Below are 22,953 nucleotides of genomic sequence, written 5' to 3' on the forward strand. Positions count from 1 at the left end.
GGGAGTCTGGAGTCATGGGCCAGGCTGAAACAGAAGAAACTCAAAAGAAGCAGGGAGAAGGCAGGTTTAAGGGCCAGGACGGGGGTGGCTGTGTCCCTTCCTCCTGCTGTGGGAAGGGACTTGAGATCCGTGTGCTTTGCTTCCTTCTTGCTTGGCCAATCCAAGCAGGGGCTCAGAACAGACCTCAGGGCTGAGCAGAGGCCAGTAGACCCTGAGAGTCCTGCCAGGCTGCAGGGATTCTGGGTGGGCCTGCGGACATCACATGCACGGGAGGGACGGATGCTGGGGTCGCACACTGGCCGGCAGGGCAGAGGACAGGAGAGGCAGGGCGGGCTCCGAGTCTCACGCATTGCTGTGGATGAATCTCCTGATCTCTCTGTGCCTCAGTGCCTCATCTGTGAAATGGGATGGTTGGGCCGACCTGCCGAGGGAACCACCCTCTCAGCACAGTGCCTGGGTTTGGGCTGCTATTATGGGCTGTTACAAAGGCCTGTGGTTCCTGAGCCAGGACCTACCTCCCTGGGCCTCTGGCACCCTTCAAGGTGTTCTGGGGTGGGGACAGGGAAAGGTGCAGAGGGCTGGCCTATTCACAGCCTCCTGCTTGCTGTGGGCACTGCTGGGACGGTCATGTGCCCGCTATGGTCTGACTCAAGAAGAACTGCCCTCCCTCCCACATCCTGCTCCCTCTTCTCTGCCCTCCCCCATCCTCCTCCTCCCCTCAACCGCCCTCACTCCGGCAGCAGCAGCCACAGTACTGGCAGGAGGCTGGGTGCCTGAGCTTCACCTTCCAGGCCGCAGAATTTTCAGGGTGCCACCCCTGGGTGCCCCACATGTCCCTTCACATGTGCCCAGGATCCATTCCAGCCCCTTAGATTCCTCTTCATTGGGGAGGGGGACGGTGGCTTTTCCATGTGCGTCCTCTCTGTATGGACCCTAATCAGAGTGCCGCGCGCACCATGCGCGGTACTCCCATAACCCTCTCCGATGTTCGAGGGGAGGGTGGAGGCTTTGTGTGGATCACATTAGAATGGGGGACAGTGGGACGTGTGAAAGTCTTCGGTGATCTGGCTTCTCTGAGCGTCGGCCTCTTCAGCATTCACCTTCGATCCCACCTCAGCTGTAGTCCGGGCTTCGAGGACTTGCAAATGTCTTCCTCTCTCTGAGCCTGTTTCTTCATCTGTAAAATGGGCTTCCTCGGCCGGGCACTGTGGCTCACGCCTGTAATCCCAGCACTTTGGGAGGCCGAGGCGGGCAGATCTCCTGAGGTCAGGGGTTCGACACCAGCCTGGCCAACATGGCAAAACCCTGTCTCTACTAAAAATACAAAAATTAGCTGGGTGTGGTGGTACATGCCTGTAATCCCAGCTACTCGGGAGGCTGAGGCAGGAGAATCGCTTGAACCCGGGAGGTGGAGGTTGCAGTGAGCCGTGATCCTGCCACTGCACTCCAGCCTGGGCGACACAGTGAGACTCTGTCTCAAAAAAAAAAAAAAAAGGCTTCCTCGTAGTACCTTCTCAGGGCCATTAGGGGCATCCTGGGAGAGTAAGGTGTGCAGAGTTCCCAGTCGCGTCAGGCCCTGCAAAGCTAATAGCCGGTGTTGGTGATAGATGACCTCTCTCTCTGGCTTCCCGATGTGGAAGGAATCGTCCTCTGAGGAGTGCGTGTCCTCCTGGGGGTGGGGCGGGAGGGGTGGTTAAACTGCCTACAGGAGCCAGTTTGTGAATTGGGTTTAGAACAACACATATTTAAGTTCACAATTCTAAAGATCACACTCTCGACTCATTTTTGTGCTAAGCCCTGTGGTTACATGCACCATGTCCCCTGATACCAACAAGAGGGGTATGAGAACCATCCCTTGTTATGGATGAGGAAACTGAGGCTCAGACAGGTGAGGGCGTTTGCTTGAGGCTGTACAGGCAGTGAATGGCAGAGATCTGTCCTGGGATTGGGAGTGCAAAGCCATTCCGGCGTCAGCCACGTAGGGATCTGGAGGGTTTTGTGCTGGGCACTGGGACTGCAGGGTGGACAAGTCCAGTTGGAACAGCCAGGATCCCCCCATGCTGTTTACCCAGTTCCCTGGGAACAGAGACTGAGGGGCAGGGTGTGGGCATGTGGGAGGAGCCACCTGCTGGCTCCATATGGTGGTCTACCCACCAGCACCAGCAGCAGCCCACCCAGCCTGATGCCAGGAGGGGCTCAGCAGAGAAGGTGGGGAGGTGGGAGGGTCTTGTGCAGGCATGCGGCTTTGGGGAGGCCATTCATGTGACTCTTGTTTTAGCCCCCTTGGGTGGAGCACAGGGCTGGGTGGCCAAGTGCTCACTCTGTGTGCAGTATCTGGGTTAATTCCTATGTCAGTTCGTAACCCCCTTATGCAGACGAGGCTAGGAGAGGTGAAGTCTGTATCCAAGGTCACACTGCTAGTGAGAGGCAGAGGTGGGACTGCGCCTGTGCCTATCAAGTCCATGGCCCCATGGGGCACCATCTCTTTGAACAAGGAGCCACAGCTTTCCTGGGCCCCGGGCAGGCGATGTTGGTGGTGGGTGGGTGATGTTGGCGTCTCCTTTACCCTCTCTGGCCCGGTCTGCTGCCTCCAGGTACAAAGGCTTCATCAAGGACTGCCCCAGTGGGCAGCTGGATGCGGCAGGCTTCCAGAAGATCTACAAGCAATTCTTCCCGTTCGGAGACCCCACCAAGTTTGCCACATTTGTTTTCAACGTCTTTGATGAAAACAAGGTGAGCTGGGGATTGATGGGGCCTGCGGCAGCTGGCTCAGCTCCTGTGGGTACCCGCAGCGTCTCCACACCCACTCTCTCCTGCCGATGTTCCCTTCTAGAGAAGGAACACACACACGAGTGCATACTGACATGCACAGATACATAGTCGCACATAAATGCATGCACATGTACACATGCAGACACACAATAAACACAGATGCATCCAAATGCATGCACATGTGTGCACACATATGTACACCCACACATGTACTGACATGCACATCCAAGCTCTCACACAGACGTGTATGTGCACATGCAGGCGAATACCATGCACACATGTGGGCACACATACATGGAGATGCAGCCACACACGTGAACATACATGTATATTCATACAGTGCACAGAAATGCACACATATGCACACAATGCATGGACTTGCAGGTGCACACACGTGTACACACAGAGAGACATATACACATATGCATATGTATACAGTGCACAACACACATGCATGTATACACATGTACACCCTGACACTTCTCTTACAAGCATAAAATGCAAATACCTCCCATGATAATAACAGGATTAATAATAATAACCAATATTTCCTGAACATTTACTATGTTTAAGCTCTTTACATGGATTTTTTTTTTTTTTGAGACAGAGTCTTGCTCTGTTGCCGAGGCTGGAGTGCAGTGGTGCAGTCTCAATTCACTGCAACCTCTGCCTCCCAGATTCAAGCAATTCCCCTGCCTCAGCCTCCTGAGAAGCTGGGATTACAGGCGCCGTCACCACACCTGGCTAATTTTTGTATTTTTAGTAGAGATGGGGTTTCACCGTATTGCCCAGGCTGGTCTTGAACTCCTGACCTCAGATGATCCACCCACCTTGGTCTCCCAAAGTGCTGGGATTTCAGGTGTAAGCCCCCTTGCCCGGCCATACATGGATTATTTTTAATGAGGCCTTACAAGCACCTGGGAGCTGGGTATTTTAATACCCATTTTGTAGGTCAGGAAACTGAGGCTCTGAGAATCGTAGGCTATAGGATCTTTTGTTCCTGGCGTTTTCCACTGAGCATCATGTTTTCAAGACTTACCATGTGGTAGCTTGTGTCACCTCCGGGCAGTGGCTGCACGGATAGCTGTTGGGTTATCTGCGATGACCCTGATTCTGTCCTGCAGTAGCATTTGAGGGTGGATTTACTGCCACTTGTCTCTGTACCCCCTGCTGCTGGCACCGTGGAGGTTTCTATTCTATCCCATCCCCAGCTTCTCCCAGGTGCCCCCAGGCTGGGAGTCACATGCCTGACCCTGGGAAGGGCTCTTCCCTTCTTGGGCCTCGGTTTCTTCATTTGCAAATAAGAGGTGGAATTAAACAACCTGCAGCGGCCTTTCCTCTGCAAAAGCCCATGAGCCCACAGCTCTAGGCCGAGGGGCTTCCGGGCTGTTGCTGAGAGGAGCTCAGGCATTGGTGCTTCTGGCACCTTCTCCCATCAAGAGTGGAGTAAGCCTCTCCGTTCAGCCTCAGTCCTTCTTCCTGTGCCTCCCTCCTGGCCTCTCCCACTTCTAACCCCCCACACAGTCCCCCAGCCTCTGCTCCCCACCCTCTCCTTGCCTCTCGCCCCCCATTCCTTCGAGCCTGCCCTCTCCACCTGAGTGTCCATTGGCCACAGTGTCTGGAGCCTGCGACTGCCCCTCGCCCGTCCCGAGGTTCAGCCTGACCCGGTGGCCTGGCCGGCACTGACTGAGGCAATCCCCTCTCTCTCCTGTCAGGACGGGCGAATTGAGTTCTCCGAGTTCATCCAGGCGCTGTCGGTGACCTCACGGGGAACCCTGGATGAGAAGCTACGGTGTAAGTCCTGCCCCCTTGGCCCTGTGTGGCAGCAGCTGGAGGGCCCAGGTCAGAGGGAGGCAGCCCTCGGCCCTCACCAGGCAGGGGTGCCAGACACCCACTGCAGTGACCACAGATGGCGTCCCAGCTGTGTCTGCAGAGGGCAGGCCTGGGCCCTGGGCAGGTGGCCCTCACACGGCCACGTAACTAGGCCAGGCTGACTGTCCAGGGTTCAGAGAGCAGCGCAGACATCTGTGCTTCCAGGTGGGAGGGTTTCCTGGAGGCACCGGCAGCAGGAAGGAGCTCGCTGAGGCAGGTGGACAGGGAGGGCTGGGGGCAGAGGCTGGCAGGAGCCTTGGCTGCACTCGGGCAGGTGCAGACTTGGGCCGCAGGAGGGTCGGTGGGGACCCAAGACCCAGGTTCAGTGCCGGACCCACCTCTTTCATAGCCATTGCTTTGATTCTTGCTTTCAGTCATTCACTTACTCACTCATTCATTGACCAAATAACGACTGAATGCAGCCACGTGTTGGTACCAGGGATCCACTGGGGGATAAGATAGATGGGTCCCTGCTCTCAGGGCGATCAGTCTAGAGTGGCAGCAGGATTTAAAAAAAAACCTCAGGAAACTGCAGGCAAGGAGGAGAGAGGGAGTTGTGAGCAGGAGAGGACCTGCCTGGTAGGCGCAGAGCTGGGGATGAGAGGAGCTGGGGATGAGAGGAGCTGGGGAGGGGGCGTTAAGGGCTCCAGCCAGGGGGCCCGCGTGTGCGAGGCCCAGTGGAGGGAGGCTGAGAGGGAGTTGGGAGGGGAAGCTGTGCAGGCCCCTGGCGGCATTAGGAGGAATGCAGGGTGCGTGGAGGGGAGGGAAGATGGAAACCAGCTGGCCAGAACTCCCTGCTCAGTAAGACTTTCACACTTCAGTCCATCGGCAGCAAGAAGACCCTGCAGTTTCTTTTTCTTTTTCTTTCTTTCTTTTTTTTTTTTTTAAGAAATAAAAGAGAACTTTATTTATGCAAAAGCTCCTCCTCTCAATGCACTATTTTATTTTCTAATGTTGACTGTAGCAGGCCACACCATAATTGTGGGAGCAGAGTGGACTGTGGGGAGGAGGTGGGGGCTGGAGTTGGGGGAAGGAGAGGGGTGCTCCTCTGGGTAACATCCCAGGCCCCGGGCTCTCCCACGCACTCAGCTCCAGCCACTGATACCTCGGCCCTGGCAGCCCAATGCCCCATCCCTTTATTTTATTTGTTTATTTATTTATAGACAGAGTCTCGCTCTGTTGCTCAGGCTGGAGTGCAGTGGCACAATCTCGGCCCACTACAATCTCTGCCTCCTGGGTTCAAGCAATTCTCCTGCTTCAGCCTCCCAAGTAGCTGGGATTACAGGCATGTGCCACCACACCTGGCTAATTTTTGTGTTTTTAGTAGAAATGGGGTTTCGCCATGTTGGCCAGGCTGGTCTCGAACTCCTGACCTCAGATGATCCACCCACCTTGGCCTTCCAAAGTGCTGGAATTACAGGTGTGAGCCACCGTGCCTGGCCCTGTTATTTTTAATATATATATATATAAAATATTTAATATATATATAAAATATCATATATATATATATATATATATATATATATATATATAGAGAGAGAGAGAGAGAGAGAGAGAGAGAGAGAGAGAGAAAGAGAGAGTCTTGCTCTGTCACCCAGGCTAGAGTGCAGTAGTTCGATCTCGGCTTATTGCAACCTTCGCCTCCTGGGCTCAAGCCATCCTCTCACCTCCTCCCAAGTAGCTGGAACTACAGGCGCCCGCCACCACACCTGGCTAATTTTTGTATTTTTAGTAGAGAAGGGGTTTCATCCTGTTGGCCAGGCTGTTCTCCAACTCCTGACCTCAGGTGATCTGCCCGCCTCGGCCTCCCAAAGTGCTGGGATTATAGGGGTGAGTCACTGTGCCTGGCCCTGTTATTTTTAATTTATAAATAAATAAATATATATATACACATAAATATAAATTATGTATATATAAATATATATACATAAATATAAATTATGTATATATAAATATATATACATAAATATAAATTATGTATATATAAATATATATACATAATACATAAATATAAATTATGTATATATAAATATATATACATAAATATAAATTATGTATATATAAATATATATACATAAATATAAATTATGTATATAAATATATATACATAAATATAAATTATGTATATAAATATATATACATAAATATAAATTATGTATCTATAAATATATATACATAAATATAAATTATGTATCTATAAATATATATATGTGTGTGTGTATATATATATACGTATATATATATGTGTATATATATATACGTATATATATATGTATATACAGAGAGAGAGAGGGAGAGAGACTTGCTCTGTCACCCAGGCTGGAGTGCAGTGGCTTGATCTCGGCTTATTGCAAACTTCGCCTCCTGGGCTCAAGCCATCCTCCCACCTCAACCTCCCAAGTAGCTGGAACTACAGGCACCGCCACCAGGCCTGGCTAATTTTTGTATTTTTGTAGAGACGGGGTTTTGCCATGTTGTCCAGGCTGGTCTCGAACTCCTGGGCTCAAGCAGTCTGCTCACCTCAGCCTCCCAAAGTCCTGGGATTACAGGTGTGAGCCACCATGCCCAGCCTTATTTTTTTTAACCCTAGTTGCAATGGTGTGTGTGTGTCTGTCCCTGTCTATCCTGATGTAAATATTAGTTGACCTGATGAGGAATGGGCCATCCGGTCGCTGACTTCATGTTGGGGTACAGAGAGGAGGGGCGAGTTGAAGACCCCTCCCCACTGCCCCAGCCCAGGATCACTCAGCAGTGCTGCTTGCTTACAGGGGCCTTCAAGCTCTACGACTTGGACAATGATGGCTACATCACCAGGAATGAGATGCTGGACATTGTGGATGCCATTTACCAGATGGTGGTGAGAAGCCGGGTCTCGTGTGGTTAGGGGTGGCAGGAGGGGCAAAGCCAGTGACTGAGAGACAGAGAGAGAGCACTTGTGCAGCCATGCTCCTGCCCAGGGTGGAAGCAGGGGTCACTGGCTGAGCCGTTCTGTACATCTCTGCCTGGGCAGGCAGGCACAAGCTGGTAGATAGTGGGGCTGGGGTGTGGGATGTTCCAGGGCACAATGGCAGGGATGGGGAGGGGAAAGAAGAGGGGGGCGGCCCTCATCTGGAAACTGCCAGGTCTGGGGGGCAAATGCGTGGCCAAGAGCCCAAAGCCCAGAGTGCCAGGGCCCACCCCCGCCTTGTCCGTCCCTGCAGGGGAATACCGTGGAGCTCCCAGAGGAGGAGAACACTCCTGAGAAGAGGGTGGACCGGATCTTTGCCATGATGGATAAGGTGAGGTGGGGGGGCGGGGCTGGTCCTGGACCAGGGAGGCAAGGTGTCGGGGGCAGGAATTGGAGTCCCTGGATCCTGGGCCTGGCTTTGCTGCCAACCTCCTCCATGGCTCACGGCAGGCGGCACGGTGTCCTATCCCTGCTCAGCAGCTAGCCCCATCCAGTGTCCAGAGTCTTAAGTCAGTTTGCTCAGCATGTTTTCTTTAATCAACCAGAGTCCTTAGCCTTTTTTTTTTGTTTGCCATGGACCCCTTTGGCATTCTGGAGAAGCCTACAGACTTCTCAGCATAATGGCTTTAAGCGCATAAAATAAAATCCATAAGATCAAAAAGGAAGCTGATTATTTTAGAAAACAGCTGTCAGAGTATTTTAAAAAAAGAATCTGTGATGTAGCGTTCTGTGAGCTGCTTTCTTAACGCATTCACTAAGATGTAGTGGTGGGTCCAGCAACCCCCGAAATTGCGAGCTGTAATATCTGCAGCAACTAGGGTGTGTTATGAAAATACCTGTGATCCCTACTGTCGACAGATCACAGGTACTGCAGGTCCTGTTGGGGACCGTCGCCTAGGTTTCCATCAAAGGAAAAGCTACATTTCAGTTAGAGGTTAGTAAAAAAAGGCTGATTTTTTTTCCCCCAAGTTCATAGACCTGCTGACTTCTATCCACAGGCCCAAGGTTAAGAAACCCTTCTCTTTTTTTTTGAGACAGAATCTTCGCCCTGTCACCCAGGCTGGAGTGCAGTGGCGGGCGCGATCTCGGCTCACTGCAAGCTCTGCCGCCTGGGTTCACGCAACTCTCCTGCCTCAGCCTCCCGAGTAGCTGGGACTACAGGCGCATGCCACCATACCTGGCTAATTTTTTGTATTTTTAGTAGAGACGGGATTTCACCGTGTTAGCCAGGATGGTCTCGATCTCCTGACTTCGTGATCCACCAGCCTCGGCCTCCCAAAGTGCTGGGATTATAGGCGTGAGCCACCGTGCCTGGCCAAGAAACCCTTCTTTAAAGGGAACCAAAGCCAGGTGTGGTGGCTCACACCTGTAATCCCAGCATTTTGGGAGGCCGAGGCGGGTGAATCACCTGAGGTCAGGAGTTCGAGACCAGCCTGGCCAACATGGTGAATCCCTTTCTCTACTAAAAAAAAAAAAAAAAAAAAATCCGGGAGGCAGCAGTTGCAGTGAGTGGAGATCGCGCCATTGCACTCCAGCCTGGGCAACAGAGTGAGACGCAGTCTCAAAAAAAAAAAAAAAAATTATCCAGGCATGATGGCACATGCCTGTAATCCCAGCTACTCGGGAGGCTGAGGGAGGAGAATTGCTTGAACCTGGGAGGCAGAGGTTGCAGTGAGCCGAGATCACACCACTGCACTCCAGCCTGGGCAATAAGAGTGAGACTGTCTCAAAAGAAAAAAAATAAAATAAAAGGAACCATAGACACTGGAGCCTACTTGAGGGTGGAGGGTGAGAGGAGGGTGAGGATCGAAACCCACCTATTATCAGGTACTATGCTTATCACCTGAGTGACAAAATAGTCTGTACAGCAAACCCCCACAACACAGGATTTACCTATATAACAAACCTGCACATGTATCCTTGAGCCTAAAATAAAAGCCTAAAAAAAGGGACTCCAAAGAAATAAGGAATCCTTCTTTAAATCAAACTTACTTAAAACTAAAATAACTTAAATGTAAATTTGAAATAATGACGTTAGGGAAATCCAGGTGTTACGTGCCTTCAGCAAAATAACATAAAATGGTCAGGTGCGGTGGCTCACACCTGTCATCCCAGCACTTTGGGAGGCCAAGGCGAGTGGATCACTTGAGCTCAGGAGTTTGAGACCAGCCTGGGCAACGTGATGAAACCCCGACTCTACAAAAAATACAAAAATTAGCCGGGTGTGGTGGTGTGCACCTGTGGTCCCAGCTACTCGGGAGGCTGAAGTGGGAGGATGGCTGGAGCCTGAGAAACCAAGTCTGCTGTGAGCCGTGATGGTGCCATTGCACTCCAGCCTGGGTGACAGAGTGAGACCCTGTCTCAATCAATCAATCGATCAGTCAATCATAGAAATTCCTGTAACGCAGGGCTGCTTATTAGATTCTGGCTGGAGACAGCTGTTTGCCCTAAAAGCTTTGACCTGAGGCCTGTACTTTCTTAATTAAAAAAGGGAGATTAGCCCATGTTAGAGGAGTGGTAGAGACGTGCTGGCCTCAGACCCAGCTGGCGTCTTGGTAATGATCAAAAGATTTATCGACAGAGTGTGGAGCACGGAATAATAAGTTTCTCGTGGTGTGCGTCCACGTGGCTTAAGGCCAAGGCCGCACATTCCTTACTGTCCCCCTGTCTGCACTTCCGTCATTTTGGGAAACAGCACAGACCCTGTAGTCACACTGACTGGGGTGTGAATCTGACTTCTCCGTTTCCCAGCCCTGGGGCCTGGGTAGGTGACGGAGCCTCAGCTTCCTCACTGGTAAAATGGGGATGAGAGCAGCACCCCCTTCTTGGCTTGGCCGTGAGGGTTCCATACACTGAGGGTTGCGCCGAGCTTGGCATATGTCGTGTACGCAGCGAGCGATCCCTGAGCACAGCTCGGTTGTGCTCATCGGCGCTGTTTTCGGCACTTACCCTCTCTGGATACCCGAGATCGAGTAGGTGCTCTCCGTGGCCTTTTCCTTGTGGTCCGCCGGCTTCCTTGAGAGATGCTCCGGGGAAGGGATTCTGGCCCAAACATCCCCTCCCCGAGAGACCCACTAAAATTCCTCTTTCTGAGCCATGTCCAGCCCCCTGCCGGGTCTCCCAGGGTCCAGTGTGGGCTGCTCCAGGAGCAGTTTAAATGCCCTTCCAAGAGTGACCCCAGAGAACTGCACGAGGCTCTCAGCCTTGTCAGTTACTCACATTGATGGGGTTTAATAGCATTAACCATGACACGTGTGGAGTTACAGGGCACTTCCAGTTGGTCAAGCACAGAGCTGTCACCCGAGTGCCTGGAGGAAGCCAGGTAATTACCCTCCATCCCCAGGTGAAGAAACATGCCCAGAGAGGTGGGCCACGGCCCAAGGCCACCCTGCCATGAGTGCCGAGGTCTGTCTGGTGCTGGCTGCTTGTAGGCCCTGAGCCACGTTGCCTCCCTCCTGATCTAACCTTGGAAGGGCTCTTGGGACCGGCCCTGGGCTGGGCTTGTCTAGAGCCCTCTCCTGGGAGGCCCTGCACCCTCAGCCGCCTCTCTCTGCTCACAGAATGCCGACGGGAAGCTGACCCTGCAGGAGTTCCAGGAGGGTTCCAAGGCAGACCCGTCCATTGTGCAGGCGCTGTCCCTCTACGACGGGCTGGTATAGTCCCAGGCTGGAGCTGGGTGAGTGCAGACTCGGGGCCTGGGGTGGGTCTGGGATGGGTCAGGGGTGAAAACCCAGCAGCAGGACACCTACGGTTGGCAGGTAATTACCTGGGTCTCTGGGGGTGTTGTGGTCAGCCTAGCAGGGACATAGCTGGGAGGAGGAGGCTGGAAGGGGGGCCTTCAAATTGGTCAGAGCTCCTCTGTTTTGATCATTTTTATAGACCCAGATCAGCCTGCGAGTTTGCTTGAACAGAATTTTTCTGGGCGCGGTGGCTCACGCCTGTAATCCCAGCACTTTGGGAAGCTGAAGCAGGCGGATCACCAGGTCAGGAGTTCAAGACCAGCCTGACCAACATGGTGAAACCCCGTCTCTACTAAAAATACAAAAATCAGGCGGGCGTGGTGGTGCGCACCTAGTCTCAGCTACTTGGGAGGCTGAGGCAGGAGAACCGCTTGAACCCAGGAGGTGGAGATTGCAGTGAGCCGAGATCGTGCCACTGCACTCCAGCCTGGGTAACAGAGTGAGACTCCATCTCAAAAAAAAAAAAAAAAAGAAAAGAAAAAAAAAAAAAGAAAAGAATTGTCCTGGGTGGAAGACACTTTGAAAATTAGTTCCCAACCAGGGCCAGGGACCTGGGAGAGCAATTTCTTATCCCCTCTCTGAGCAGCCGGTTGAAGACCTAACTAAGCTCCTAGCTGTCACAGAATGATAGCACGCCTGGCAGAGGCCCCTGTTGCTGGTAGAGAGCTGTCTCCCTTCTTTCCTTCTCCTCTCCTCCCTTCTCCCCTTTTTTCCTGCCTCTTCTTTGTGGAGTGTTCAATGTAGTCTGCGGGGAGTGGGTGTGAATAACGTCCAAGGTATTGTCCAGAGATCAGCGTTCTTGTCCACGTCCTGGTGAACCAGTGGATGCCTGCTGTTGGTGTATATGTAAGGGTAGAATTGCTGGGACATAGGATATGTGTAATATTTAGCTTTGGTAGTTACTAGAAAACAGTTTCCAAAGTGGTTGTGCTGTTTTGCGGTCCCACTAGTAGTGTATGAGAGTTCCAGTTGCTCCACATCCTTGCCAACACTGGGTATTTTCTGTCTTTTCAAATTTTAGCCATTTTTGTGAGTATGGAGTAATAACTTGTTCTAAGTTTACTTTGCATTTCTCTGATAAGCAGTGACGTTGAATGCCTTGTTATAAGTGTATCACCCATTTTAATGTGCTCATTTGTGATGTGCTAGGTTAGTTATCCATTGCTACATATTACATTACCACAAACAGCAGCTTAAGAACAAACATTAGGAATTTGGCACAGTTAAGCTGGGTGCCTCTGGCTCAAGGACTCTCAGGAGTATGCAGTTCAGCTGTCAATAGGGTTTGCCCAGGTCTATCCTGGATTTAGCAGTGCAAGTTCCCTGTTCTAGGAAACTTCTCAGTCCCGGGAAAATTGGGATACTTGTCAGCCATTGGCCAGGGCTGTGGTCTCATCTGAAGGTTTGGCTGGTGATGACCTGCTTCCAAGCTCACTCATGTGGTTTGGCAGCCTTGTTCCCTTGCCATGTAGACACCTGCACAGGGCTGCCTCACAATATGGCTGCCGGCTTCCCTCAGAGCTTTCCAAGAGAGAAGGAGAGAAAGAGAGCCAGGATGAAAGCCAGTGTCTTTTTATAGCATAATCTTGGAAGTGATATCCATCACTTTTTCTTTTTCTTTCTTTTTTTTTTCTGCGACTGGGTCTCACTCTGTTACCCAGCCACCAGGTCATGGCTCACTGCAGCCTCAACCTCCCAGACTCAGACGAGCCTCCCACCTCAGCCCTCAGCTTTCCAAGTAGCTGGGACTACAGACATTTGCCACCATATCTGGCTAATTTAAAAAAAAAAGTGTTTTTTTTGTTTGTTTGTTTTGTTTTGTTTTTTTTCTGTAGTGTAGAGATAGAGTCTCACTATGTTGCCCAGGCTGGTCTGGAACTCTTGACCTCAAGTGATCCTCCTACCTCGGCCTCCCAAAGTGCTGAGATTACAGGTGTGAGCCACTGCACCCAGCCATAGATTGGTTTTTGAATGCTAAGTCACCTTGCATTCTTAGAATAAACTCCACTTTGCTGTGATGTGTTATTTTTTTATGTATCATAAAATTTGATTTGTTGGCATTTTGTTTAGGAGGTCTACACTGTTTTTTTCTTTCTTTCTTTCTTTTTTTTTTTTTGAGACAGGGTCTCACTCCATCACCTAGGCTGGAGTGCAGTGACATGATTTCAGCTCACTGCAGCCTCTGCCTCCTGGGTTCAAACAATTCTCCTGCCTCAGCTTCCCGAGTAGCTGGGACTATAGGCACCTGCCACCATGGCGCCTGGCTAATTTTTCCATTTTTAGTAAAGATGGGGTTTCACCATCTTGGCTAGGCTGGTCTCGAACTCCTGACCTCAGGTGATCCACCCACCTCAGCCTCCCAAAGTGCTGGAACTGCAGGCGTGAGCCACCATGCCTGGCCAGGCCTACACTGTTTTGAAGCGTCTGTTATTATTATTATTATTTTTCACAAGAAATCCTTTTTCATTGAAGAGACATTGAAAATATGTTTAATGAGAAAACCTCAATTAAAAAGTTTATTTTAAAAAAAACCCCTTATGTATGACTCAGATATAATCACAGTGAACATTTTAGTGTCCAGAGTGATTTTAAAAGAATTGAACACTTACAAAACTTAACACTCAGTAAACTGAGTCACACAGAAATTATATAATTAAAACCAATTTATAAAGGAACTATCACTGTTATTAATATTTCTTTTTTTTTTTTTTTCCAAGATGGAGTCTCCCAGGCTGGAGTGCAGTGGCGTGATCTTAGCTCACTGCAACCTCTGCCTCCTGGGTTCAGACAATTCTCATGCCTCAGCCTCCCAAGTAGCTGGGATTACAGGTGCTTGCCACCACGCCCGGCTAATTTTTGTACTTTTAGTAGAGATGGGGTTTCAGCATGTTGGACAGGCTGGTCTCGAACTCCTGACCTTGTGATCCACCCACCTCAGCCTCTCAAAGTGCTGGGATTACAGGTGTGGGCCATCGCGCCTGGCCAATATTTCCATCATAGAAATGTTTGACGTGTACCTTGACATGTCCCATGGTGAATGCTGATCCGTTGTCTAATTTTTCACAGTCCTCTTTTGCAAATCACCATGTCATATTATTTCCATGACAAGCTTGTCAAAGTGACAAGAGCCCTCGCATGATATGATCCCCCTTTCTATTAGCTCTGCTGGGAAATGGCCTTCTTTCTTCTATAGGGCTGTTCCTTGTGCCTACGCGGTAGTGATTATATCCAATTTGTGTTCTATCATTTTAATGATTTATTTGCCTCCTCAGGTTCCTGATAGCTCATAATTCCTAGATCACTTGCAGTGATGTAAGTCATTGACTTATTCAGAAACTGAGATGAGGCTTATTTTCCACATCATTAAATGTTGAGCCATCATTTTTCATAGCTGCATAATGCTCCATCACATGGCTGGGCCATAATTTAACCAGTTCCACAGTGTTGGACACTCAGGTTGTTGGGAATTTGGGGAAGGGATTAAAAAGTTATCTATTATGGGCCAGGCGCACTGGCTCATGCCAGTAACCCCAGCACTTTGGGAGGCTGAGGCAAGTGGATCACTTGAGGTTAGGAGTTCAAGACCAGCCTGGGCAACATGGTGAAACCCCGTCTCTACAAAAAATACAAAAATCAGCCAGGTGTGGTGGCGGGCACCTGTAATCCCAGCTATTTGGGAGGCCGAGGCAGGAGAATTGCTTGAACCTGGGAGGCGGAGGTTGCAGTGAGCCAAAACCACTCCACTGCACTCCAGCCTGGGTGACAGAGTGAGACTCTGTCTGAAAAACAAAACAAAACAAATTATCTGTTATGGAAACATTCATACACAGTGGCAGAGAGAATAGTGTAATGCTGAGTGGGCGCCTGTGGTCACTCACACCTATCATCCCAGTGCTTTGGGAGGCCGAAGTGGGAGGACTGCTTTAGGCCAGAAGTTTGAGTCCAGCCTAGGCAACATAGAGAGACTCTGTCTCTACAAAAAATATGAAAATTAGCCAGGTGTGGTGGCACATGCCTGTAGTCCCAGCTACTCAGGAAGCTGAGGCAGGAGGATCCCTTGAGCCCAGGAGTTAAAGGCTACAGTGAACTAGGATTGTACCACTACACTCCTGCCTAGGTGACAGTGTAAGACTCTGTCTCTTTAAAAAAAAAAAAAAGTGTAATGTTTTGTACTCATCACTCAGCTTCCGAATCCCCAGTTCCCTGCCAATCTTGTACCATCTGTGCCCTCCCCCCCCACCCCCACTCTTGTGATTTTGAAGCAAATTCAAGACATCATCATACTTAATCCATTTCAAAATGTATTTCTAAAAGATAAAGATTCTTTGAAAAATTCATAAAGCAAAAGCAATCAATAATTCCTTAATATCCTCTGATCTCTAGTTGCTATTCTAGTTTCCTGTTATCTTACTCTTTTTTTTTTAACTTTGTTTACTGAAATCAGAATCAGAATAAAGTCTACCCATTGTAATAGGTTGATAGGTCTCTTAAATTTATTTAGACCATGTGCAGTGGCTGACGCCTGTAATCCCAGCACTTTGGGAGGTCGAGCTGTGTGGATCACTTGAGCCAAAGAGTTCAAGACCAGCCTGGGCAACATGGTGAAACCCTGTCTCTACCAAAAATACAAAAATTAGCTGGGTGTGGTGGCGGGTGCCTGTAGTCCCACCTACTTAGGGGTGCTGAGGCAGGAGGATTGCTTGAACCAGGGAGGGTGAGGCTGCAGTAAGCTGAGATTGCACCACCGCACTCCAGCCTGGGTGATAAAGTGAGATTTTATCTCAAAAAAAAAAAACTTTAATTTTGTTTATTTTTTATGTATTTATTTTTTTGAGGTGGAGTCTCACTCTTTTTGCCCAGGCTGGAGTGCAATGACGTGATCTTGGCTCACTGCAACCTCTGCCTCCTGGATTCAAGCGATTCTCCTGCCTCAGTCTCCTGAGTAGCTGGGATTACAGGCACACACCACCACGCCCAGCTAATTTTTGTATTTTTAGTAGAGATGGGGTTTCACCATGTTGGCCAGGCTAGTCTCGAACTCTTGAACTCAGGTGATCCGCGTACCTTGGCTTCCTAAAGGGTTGGGATTACAGACATGAGCCACCTCACCTGGCCTGAGTATGGATTTTTGGTTCTTTGGGTATATACCTAGGAGTGGAGTTGCTGGGTCATATGGTTAACTCTATGTTTAACTTTTTGAGGAACCACCAAACTGATCTCCAAACTAGTGACAGCATTTTGCATTCCCACCAGCAAAGGACAGAGGTTCCAGTTTCCCACATCCTTGCCAACGCTTGTTATTTTCCATGAAAAAAAAAAAAAAGGTAGCCATCCTAGTGGGTGTGAAGTGGTTGCCTCACTGTGGTTTTTTGTTGTTGTTGTGGTTTTTGTTTTTTGAGACAGGGTCCCACTCTGTCTCCCAGGCTGGAGTGCAGTGATGCAATCTCGGCTCACTGCAACCTCTGCCTCCCAGGTTCAAGTCATTCTCCTGTCTGAGCCTCCCAAGCAGCTGGAATTATAGGTGTGCGCAGCCACGTCCGGCTAATTTTTGTATTTTTGGTAGAGACCGGGTTTCACTGTGTTGGCCAAGCTGGTCTTGAACTCCTGGCCTCAAGCGATCCTCCTGCCTTGGCCTCCCAAAGTGCTAGATTTACAGGTTTGACCCACCACTCCTGGCCCTCCCTGTGGCTTTGATGTGTGTTTCCCTAATGACTAGGGATGTTGGGCATCTTTTCATGTGTTTATCGACTGTTCTATGTGTTGTTTTTAATGGTTTGTAAACTGTTTTATCCTGTGGGTGTGTCCTAATGTATCCCACCACTCCTCTGATACTGGACACTTAGATTGTTTTCTCTGCTTCCATTTTTGTTTTCTGTTTTCTGCTATTACAGATGGTGCAGTGGTAAACATTTATTTATTAAGGATAAATATAGGCTGGGCACGGTGGCTCACGCCTGTAATCCCAGCACTTTGGGAGGCCGAGGCGGGTCTATCATGAGGTCAGGAGTTCGAGACCAGCCTGGCCAAGATGGTGAAACCCTGTCTCTACTAAAAAATGCAAAAAGAAATTAGCCAGGCATGGTGGCGGGCGCCTGTAATCCCAGCTACTTGGGAGGCTGAGGCAGGAGAATCGCTTGAACCCAAGAGGTGGAGGTTGCAGTGAGCCGAGATTATGCCACTGCACTGCAGCCCAGGTGACAGAGCAAGACTCCAACTCAAAAAAAAGCAAACAAAAAAAAACCAAAAAACCCAAAGGGTGCCTCAGAGGTTATGCACATTTTTAGGACTTCTGACATAGAATGCCAGCTTGCCATCTATCGACCTTCCTGCCAGCTCTCTGTGCCTATCCTCCGTGGCCAGACCTTAACCCCTATCCGCTGTGGCTGGATCTTAACCCATCTTGCCTCCTTGTGTCTTCCAGATGCCTGGGAACCACTCACCTCCTTCTGTGCCATGAGGCCACCTCAGCCCTGACACCAACCCCGTGCGTCCACCCAGCCTTCTTCCGCATCCACACACAGCCGGCTGCCCTTGACCCGGGAGGCCCCGGCTCTCCTCTCCCCTGTCCTGCACCCATCCCCCGCCTGAAGCCACCGGCTCCAATTGCCAGCAACCTCTGCTTGTCCGGAAAACGACAACACGAAATGGAAAAGGCTACAGCCCTCTGCATAAACCAAGGACTTGGCTGCCTCGCAGGCAGCCTCCGTTCCTCCCGCTCTCTTGCGCGTGTGCTTTTGTTTTTTATTTTGAACAGACGTTTTAAAAGAAAAAAAAACAACTACCTTCTGTCCTAGAAGACACAGACTGACAGATGGGGTGAAGGCCTGGGGACCTCAGAGAACTCTGCCTTGCCCTCGTCCCTCGTCCTTCGGCAGCCGGAGAGGCTGTGGGTGGGCCGAGGGTGTCTAGGGGTTCTGCCTGGTCAACGTTATTTGTCGTCCCATCTTTTGGCAGCAAAACCACCTGCGTGGCTAGGATGATTAATTATGAGGATGATGATTTTTTTTGTGATAACAGTATTGTGCTTTTTGTGGGGAAAGTGAGGTTTTTTTTTATATACATATATAATTGATATCTTTAATTTATTGGTTGTTAACTGTTGCTGCTGCCTGGTGTGTCCTCAGCTCCCAGGGCTGCGGGCCCACCGTTTACATGTGCACGCCCTGACCCACCTGCCCACGCCGACTTGGGAGGATGGTGGCCTGCAGCGGCCAAGAAGCCAAAAAAAATTTTTTTTTTTTCAGATACTGTGCTTGATTTTTGGAGAGGGGAGAGGTGGAAATTCCTAAATGGCTAATGCACTGTTCCCTCCAGCCCGAATGCCTCCTGCCAAACCCCTTTTCCCTGCTGCCTCTGTCCCCGCATCCTTGTTCTCCCCTGGGTCCGTAACATTTTTTCCGAGGATGAACAGGGGACATCTTTAGGTTTCTCAACTCTTGCTTTGGTGTTTGCCGCAGCATGGAAAACAGGGCGCCTAAGGCTGGGAGCTGGAAGAAGGGGCATTGGGTACCCAGGCAGAGTCAGGAGAGGTGGTCTTTGAAGTAAGTTAGCAGAAATCAAGGGGACCCCCGCCTCCTTGGGCTGGGGAGGGGATTTCAAGATAGTTCATGACTCTCTCCCGCTCTGCCTTCCCTCCTTCCTATCTGCTTTTTCCAGTAAACTGCATGGTGTCCTTCCCTGGCCTTCTCTTGGCTCAAAGGCTGGGAGGGAGGGAAGGAGAGAAGAGTTCCAGGCAATCCCATCAATATAGTCCCTACACCTGGGGCTGCGGCCCACATGTCTTCACGGAGGCTTCCAGCGGTGCCTGCCACTGAGGCAGGTGCGGCCCCAGGACCATCACCAGGAATGCGAGGCCACCCTGGACCAGAGGTAGGAGCCCAAGGTCCGGCCCTTGCTCTTTGATTGTGGGCAGCCTCCTGCCCTCTCTGGGTCTCAGTTGCCCCATCTGCAGAGCGAGGAGGCCCGGGCTGGTTGGTCTTGAAGGCCCTTTTCCATGCCGACATCATGTCACTCTAGGCCTGGGGTTCAGTTTCCTGTGGCTGGTGATGCTGTGGTTAAGTTTGCTTGACCCCAGCAGCCCGAGGGACTGTCTGAGTCACAGCACAGCCCCTATTGCGTGGCTGCTGGTGTGTGGGGTCAGTTCCAGCAGATGAATGTGTCATGTGGCACACCTTGTCCCTTCCCGCAGCATTTCCTGGTTCCCCCCAGACCCTTGAGCGCTCTTTGGGACCCAGAAGGAGTCCTTGCACAGGGAAGGCTTGAGGTGAGAAGCCGCTTCCCAGACTGTCAGGGCCAGGCCTGGGTCTAGAATTCTTGCTGCTGCTTTGCAGAGTCAACAGCCCATCAGCCCATGTTTTAGAGGGGACACTTTGGTCCTCGGTTCCCACCCTCAGCAAGCAGGCCTCCAGCCCGAGGAAGGCCTCTGCCGTAGTGACGTTGCCGTGTGGGGCTGCGTGGCTGTTCCCCTTGGCTGGAGCATTCAGCCAACCCCAGCGTCCCCCCTGAGGCGTTCATTGGCAGCCCCCTAGGACTGCACGCTGGCCCCACGGTAACCCCCCCTCCCCCACCAACATCCTGCAGGGATGGGGTCAGTGGTTCCACCTTCACAGGCCACTTTGAAGGGTGGATTCTTTGAGGCCCCTGCCAGTCGGCTCCCTGCTCAGCTGCTGGCCCGGGCGACCTGGGACTCAGCACCAACGGCTGAAGTTTCTCAGCTGGGCTCTGACCTGGGGTCTGGGGCAGGGAACGAACATGGTGGCTTTGGGCTGAGAGGATGAGGGAGGTCTTTCCCAGGTCAAATTACTTTCCTTTGGCCTCTGCCTGAGGCTCGATTTGCCTCTCTGGTCCAATGGGACTGACACTGTTGTACAACCTGACCTGTGGCTGAGGGTGTCTGGGCTTAAGCATGTGGACCCCTTCGGTGTGTCCGGCCTTCCTCCATCGTCCTGCCCTTTGGCCTTTTGGTTTGAAGCCACAGGTGTGGCTTCTGGCCTTAGCAGATGGTATGCTTGCGGACCGCAGCCCAGCATGCCGGTGGGCCCACAGCCCGAGCCAGCCCAGAGCTGCCGGAAGGGCCGCCCTTCCCGGCCCTGGCGGGGTGCTGGACACTGGCCATTTTCACTAGAGTTTGCCTGGCAGGGACCGATCTCTGCCCCCTCCTCTCCCCAGGCCTCTGGCTGCAGTGATGCCGCAGAATCCTGAGCCAGGTGCCTCCTGAGCAGCCCGTGCGCCTCTCCACAGCGGCGTTTGCCACCCAATGCGGCTCGCTTCAGATGCTCTGATGCAGAGGGCACGCCCATAGTCCCTCTGCAGAGCCTCGCACTGGGGCCAGGGCAGGCACCAGCCCCAGGCGGCCAGTCGGCCACGGCCTGTCCTCTTCCTCGTAGCGTCTGCTCCTCACTTTGTGTTGATGGTGACTTAGGAGAATGTTCCGATTTTCCATGATCTAAGCAGGCCACGTTTAAAATAACATCAAGGCAAGCGTACGTGTCACCCTCTGTACTGACATCTCTTCCCCTGAAATGCTTTTCAGTTTGACAGCCCGTTTCCTAGACAAGTGCACCTGGGGTTTCAGGAACTTTGTGTTTTTTCGGAGGGGGTTGGTGGGGAGGTCGGGATGCCTGGGATCCCTTCCTGGAGAGGCAGGCTGTCTCTGGAAAAAGCCTCCATTGCCCACCCGCCAGGCGGAAAGTCACCCTGTTCCCAGCGCGGTTTCAGCATTTAATTTTAAGGGAGCTAAGGAAGCGCGGCGCGCCCCCTGGTGGTGGTAAGCCGCCAACGCACCTGGGGGCTGCAACCCCACCGGACGGGTGGTCCGGAGGGAGGCTGGAGCGGGGAGGCGAGGAGGGGGCTGTGAGTCCTCAGAGGCCCTGGGCCACCACATTTCTGGCAGCGTTTCCCAGACACCCCTCTGCTAGGCCATCCCTGGATAGCAAGTGAATTAACTTAAGGGCACTGTGATGGGAAGCCTTGCCCCCCTCTTTTTTTTTTTTTTTTAATATCTGCGGAATAAACCCAATGGTTAATTTTTGAATGAATAAAAGGCTTTTGTTGAATAAACAGCTGGTCCCATCTTCTGTCTTGGCATCTTAGCATCCAGGCTCAGGCTCTGCCCCTTCTCCAGGATGGGGTAGCCCCGAGTCGCCCTCCCCAGTCTGCACATTCCCTGTTGTCCCTGTTCCTGCAGTGGCTCCCGGCCCCAGGGAGGCCCACCTCACTCCCAGCCTGACTCGGTGGCTGGCTTCCTTCAGGACTTTGCGCAAGTCAGTTCTGCTCATTGGGTCTCAATTTCCCCATCCCTTGGATGGGAGCAAGAGTCTCTGCTGGGCCTGCCTCGCAGGGGCCTGGTGAGACCCAAATGTGAGTGTCATCATCAAAGCCCCTCACAGAAGTGGAGGACGGTGCCCAAGAGTAGCGGTTTGGACTGCTGCTGCCTCCCACCCGGAGCCTGCCACTTGGGGGAGAAATTGGTATAATGCTTGCAAAAACAAACAAACAAAAGGCAATGTCTTCTGGTTGTGGTTATTTCCTTTCCTGCTTGCCTCCCCAGCCCCCTTTGAGTCTCTTTTTGGGGTGCCGTCCTGTCTGAACCTGCCGGTGTGTGTCTCTGGGGCCAGGGTCAGGGCGAGGCCCAGGGGTGGACAGGGGCCGTGTAGCATGCCCCAGCCTCCCCAAGCTCCTGCTGTATGTCGTCCATGTCACGCCAATTAAACACGCTTCCTGGACTTGTCCTCGCCTCCCTGTGTGGGCCTGTTGCTTTGTCTGTTTACATTCTTCTCCGTTTCGTTTTAGGTTTCTTCCCTTTGTGACACCCTTTCTCTGGCTTTGGGTGTTGTCTTCCCAGTTTCCTGAAGAGAAAGAATGTGTAGGCCGGGTGCAGTGGCTCATGCCTATAATCCCAGCACTTTGGGAGGCCGAGTTGGGCGGATCACCTGAGGTCTGGAGTTCGAGACCAGCCTGGCCAACATGGTGAAACCCCGTCTCTACTAAAATACAAAAATTAGCTGGGTGTGGTGGCAGGCGCCTGTAATCCCACCTACATGGGAGCCTGAGGCAGGAGAATCACTTGAACCCGGGAGGCGGCGATTGGAGTGAGCTGAGACCACACCATGGCACTCCAGCCTGGGTGACAAGAGCGAGACTCCATCTCAAAAAAAAAAAAAAAAAAAAGAGAGAGAAAGAATGTGCAAAGTGAGAACCTTGAGTATACTTTTAAACCAGAAAAATCTGCAGGAGTGTTTCTGCGAGGCCTAGAGTTGAGTGGTGTGAGGCCCCGCCCACTGCCTCACCCACGACATCCCCTGACCTGCCTGTTTCATCTGGAGAGGGCGGCTGCTGCTTTAAAAATGTCTGAAAACCATTGGCCTAGATCAGTGGCTCTCAAAGTCAAGTGTGTCTCAGAATCACCTGGATTGGAGGCTGCTTCAAACCCAGCTTGCCAGCCCAGCCGCCGAGTTTCTGATTAGGAGGGTCTGGGCAGGGGCCTGGGAATCTGAGTTCCTAACAAGTTCCTGGGCTGCGCTGCTGCTGCGGGTCTGTGAATCACACTTTGAGGACCCCTGGGAGGTGTGTGCGCTGCAGCATGTCCGGTTGGGTCCCTACCTCCATTGGCTCAGGGATTCA

General features: G+C 51.5%; 1 protein-coding gene across 2 annotated transcripts in view, besides 4 other annotated features; it reads left to right on the forward strand.

Annotated features, from left to right (window-relative positions):
* NCS1 (neuronal calcium sensor 1) overlaps positions 1–22,066 on the forward strand; it is a 64,900-nt gene extending 42,834 nt beyond the window's left edge. For both annotated transcript variants that reach the window (NM_014286.4, NM_001128826.2), the window contains exons 3-8: positions 2,595–2,733; positions 4,488–4,566; positions 7,413–7,501; positions 7,845–7,922; positions 11,152–11,267; positions 17,753–22,066. In NM_014286.4, coding sequence (NP_055101.2) covers positions 2,595–2,733; positions 4,488–4,566; positions 7,413–7,501; positions 7,845–7,922; positions 11,152–11,250 — 484 coding nt within the window. In that variant the 3' untranslated portion in view covers positions 11,251–11,267; positions 17,753–22,066. The remainder of the gene's footprint in view (positions 1–2,594; positions 2,734–4,487; positions 4,567–7,412; positions 7,502–7,844; positions 7,923–11,151; positions 11,268–17,752) is intronic.
* Positions 83–739: an enhancer, noted in NCBI's record as "H3K27ac-H3K4me1 hESC enhancer chr9:132977599-132978255 (GRCh37/hg19 assembly coordinates)". NCBI's record gives its function as "activates a minimal SCP1, AML or CMV promoter by ChIP-STARR-seq in naive H9 embryonic stem cells {active_cell/tissue: H9 hESC(naive)}" and the evidence as "EXISTENCE:reporter gene assay evidence [ECO:0000049][PMID:30033119]".
* Positions 1,473–1,767: a silencer, noted in NCBI's record as "tiled region #5428; HepG2 Repressive non-DNase unmatched - State 13:Ctcf, and K562 Repressive DNase matched - State 12:CtcfO". NCBI's record gives its function as "represses a minimal TATA promoter and a strong SV40 promoter by Sharpr-MPRA in HepG2 and K562 cells {active_cell/tissue: HepG2 | K562}" and the evidence as "EXISTENCE:reporter gene assay evidence [ECO:0000049][PMID:27701403]".
* Positions 3,894–4,856: an enhancer, noted in NCBI's record as "H3K4me1 hESC enhancer chr9:132981410-132982372 (GRCh37/hg19 assembly coordinates)". NCBI's record gives its function as "activates a minimal SCP1, AML or CMV promoter by ChIP-STARR-seq in primed H9 embryonic stem cells {active_cell/tissue: H9 hESC(primed)}" and the evidence as "EXISTENCE:reporter gene assay evidence [ECO:0000049][PMID:30033119]".
* Positions 21,715–22,274: an enhancer, noted in NCBI's record as "H3K4me1 hESC enhancer chr9:132999231-132999790 (GRCh37/hg19 assembly coordinates)". NCBI's record gives its function as "activates a minimal SCP1, AML or CMV promoter by ChIP-STARR-seq in naive H9 embryonic stem cells {active_cell/tissue: H9 hESC(naive)}" and the evidence as "EXISTENCE:reporter gene assay evidence [ECO:0000049][PMID:30033119]".

This window comes from Homo sapiens, chromosome 9 (genome assembly GCF_000001405.40).
Source record: "Homo sapiens chromosome 9, GRCh38.p14 Primary Assembly".
Lineage (NCBI taxonomy): Eukaryota > Metazoa > Chordata > Mammalia > Primates > Hominidae > Homo > Homo sapiens.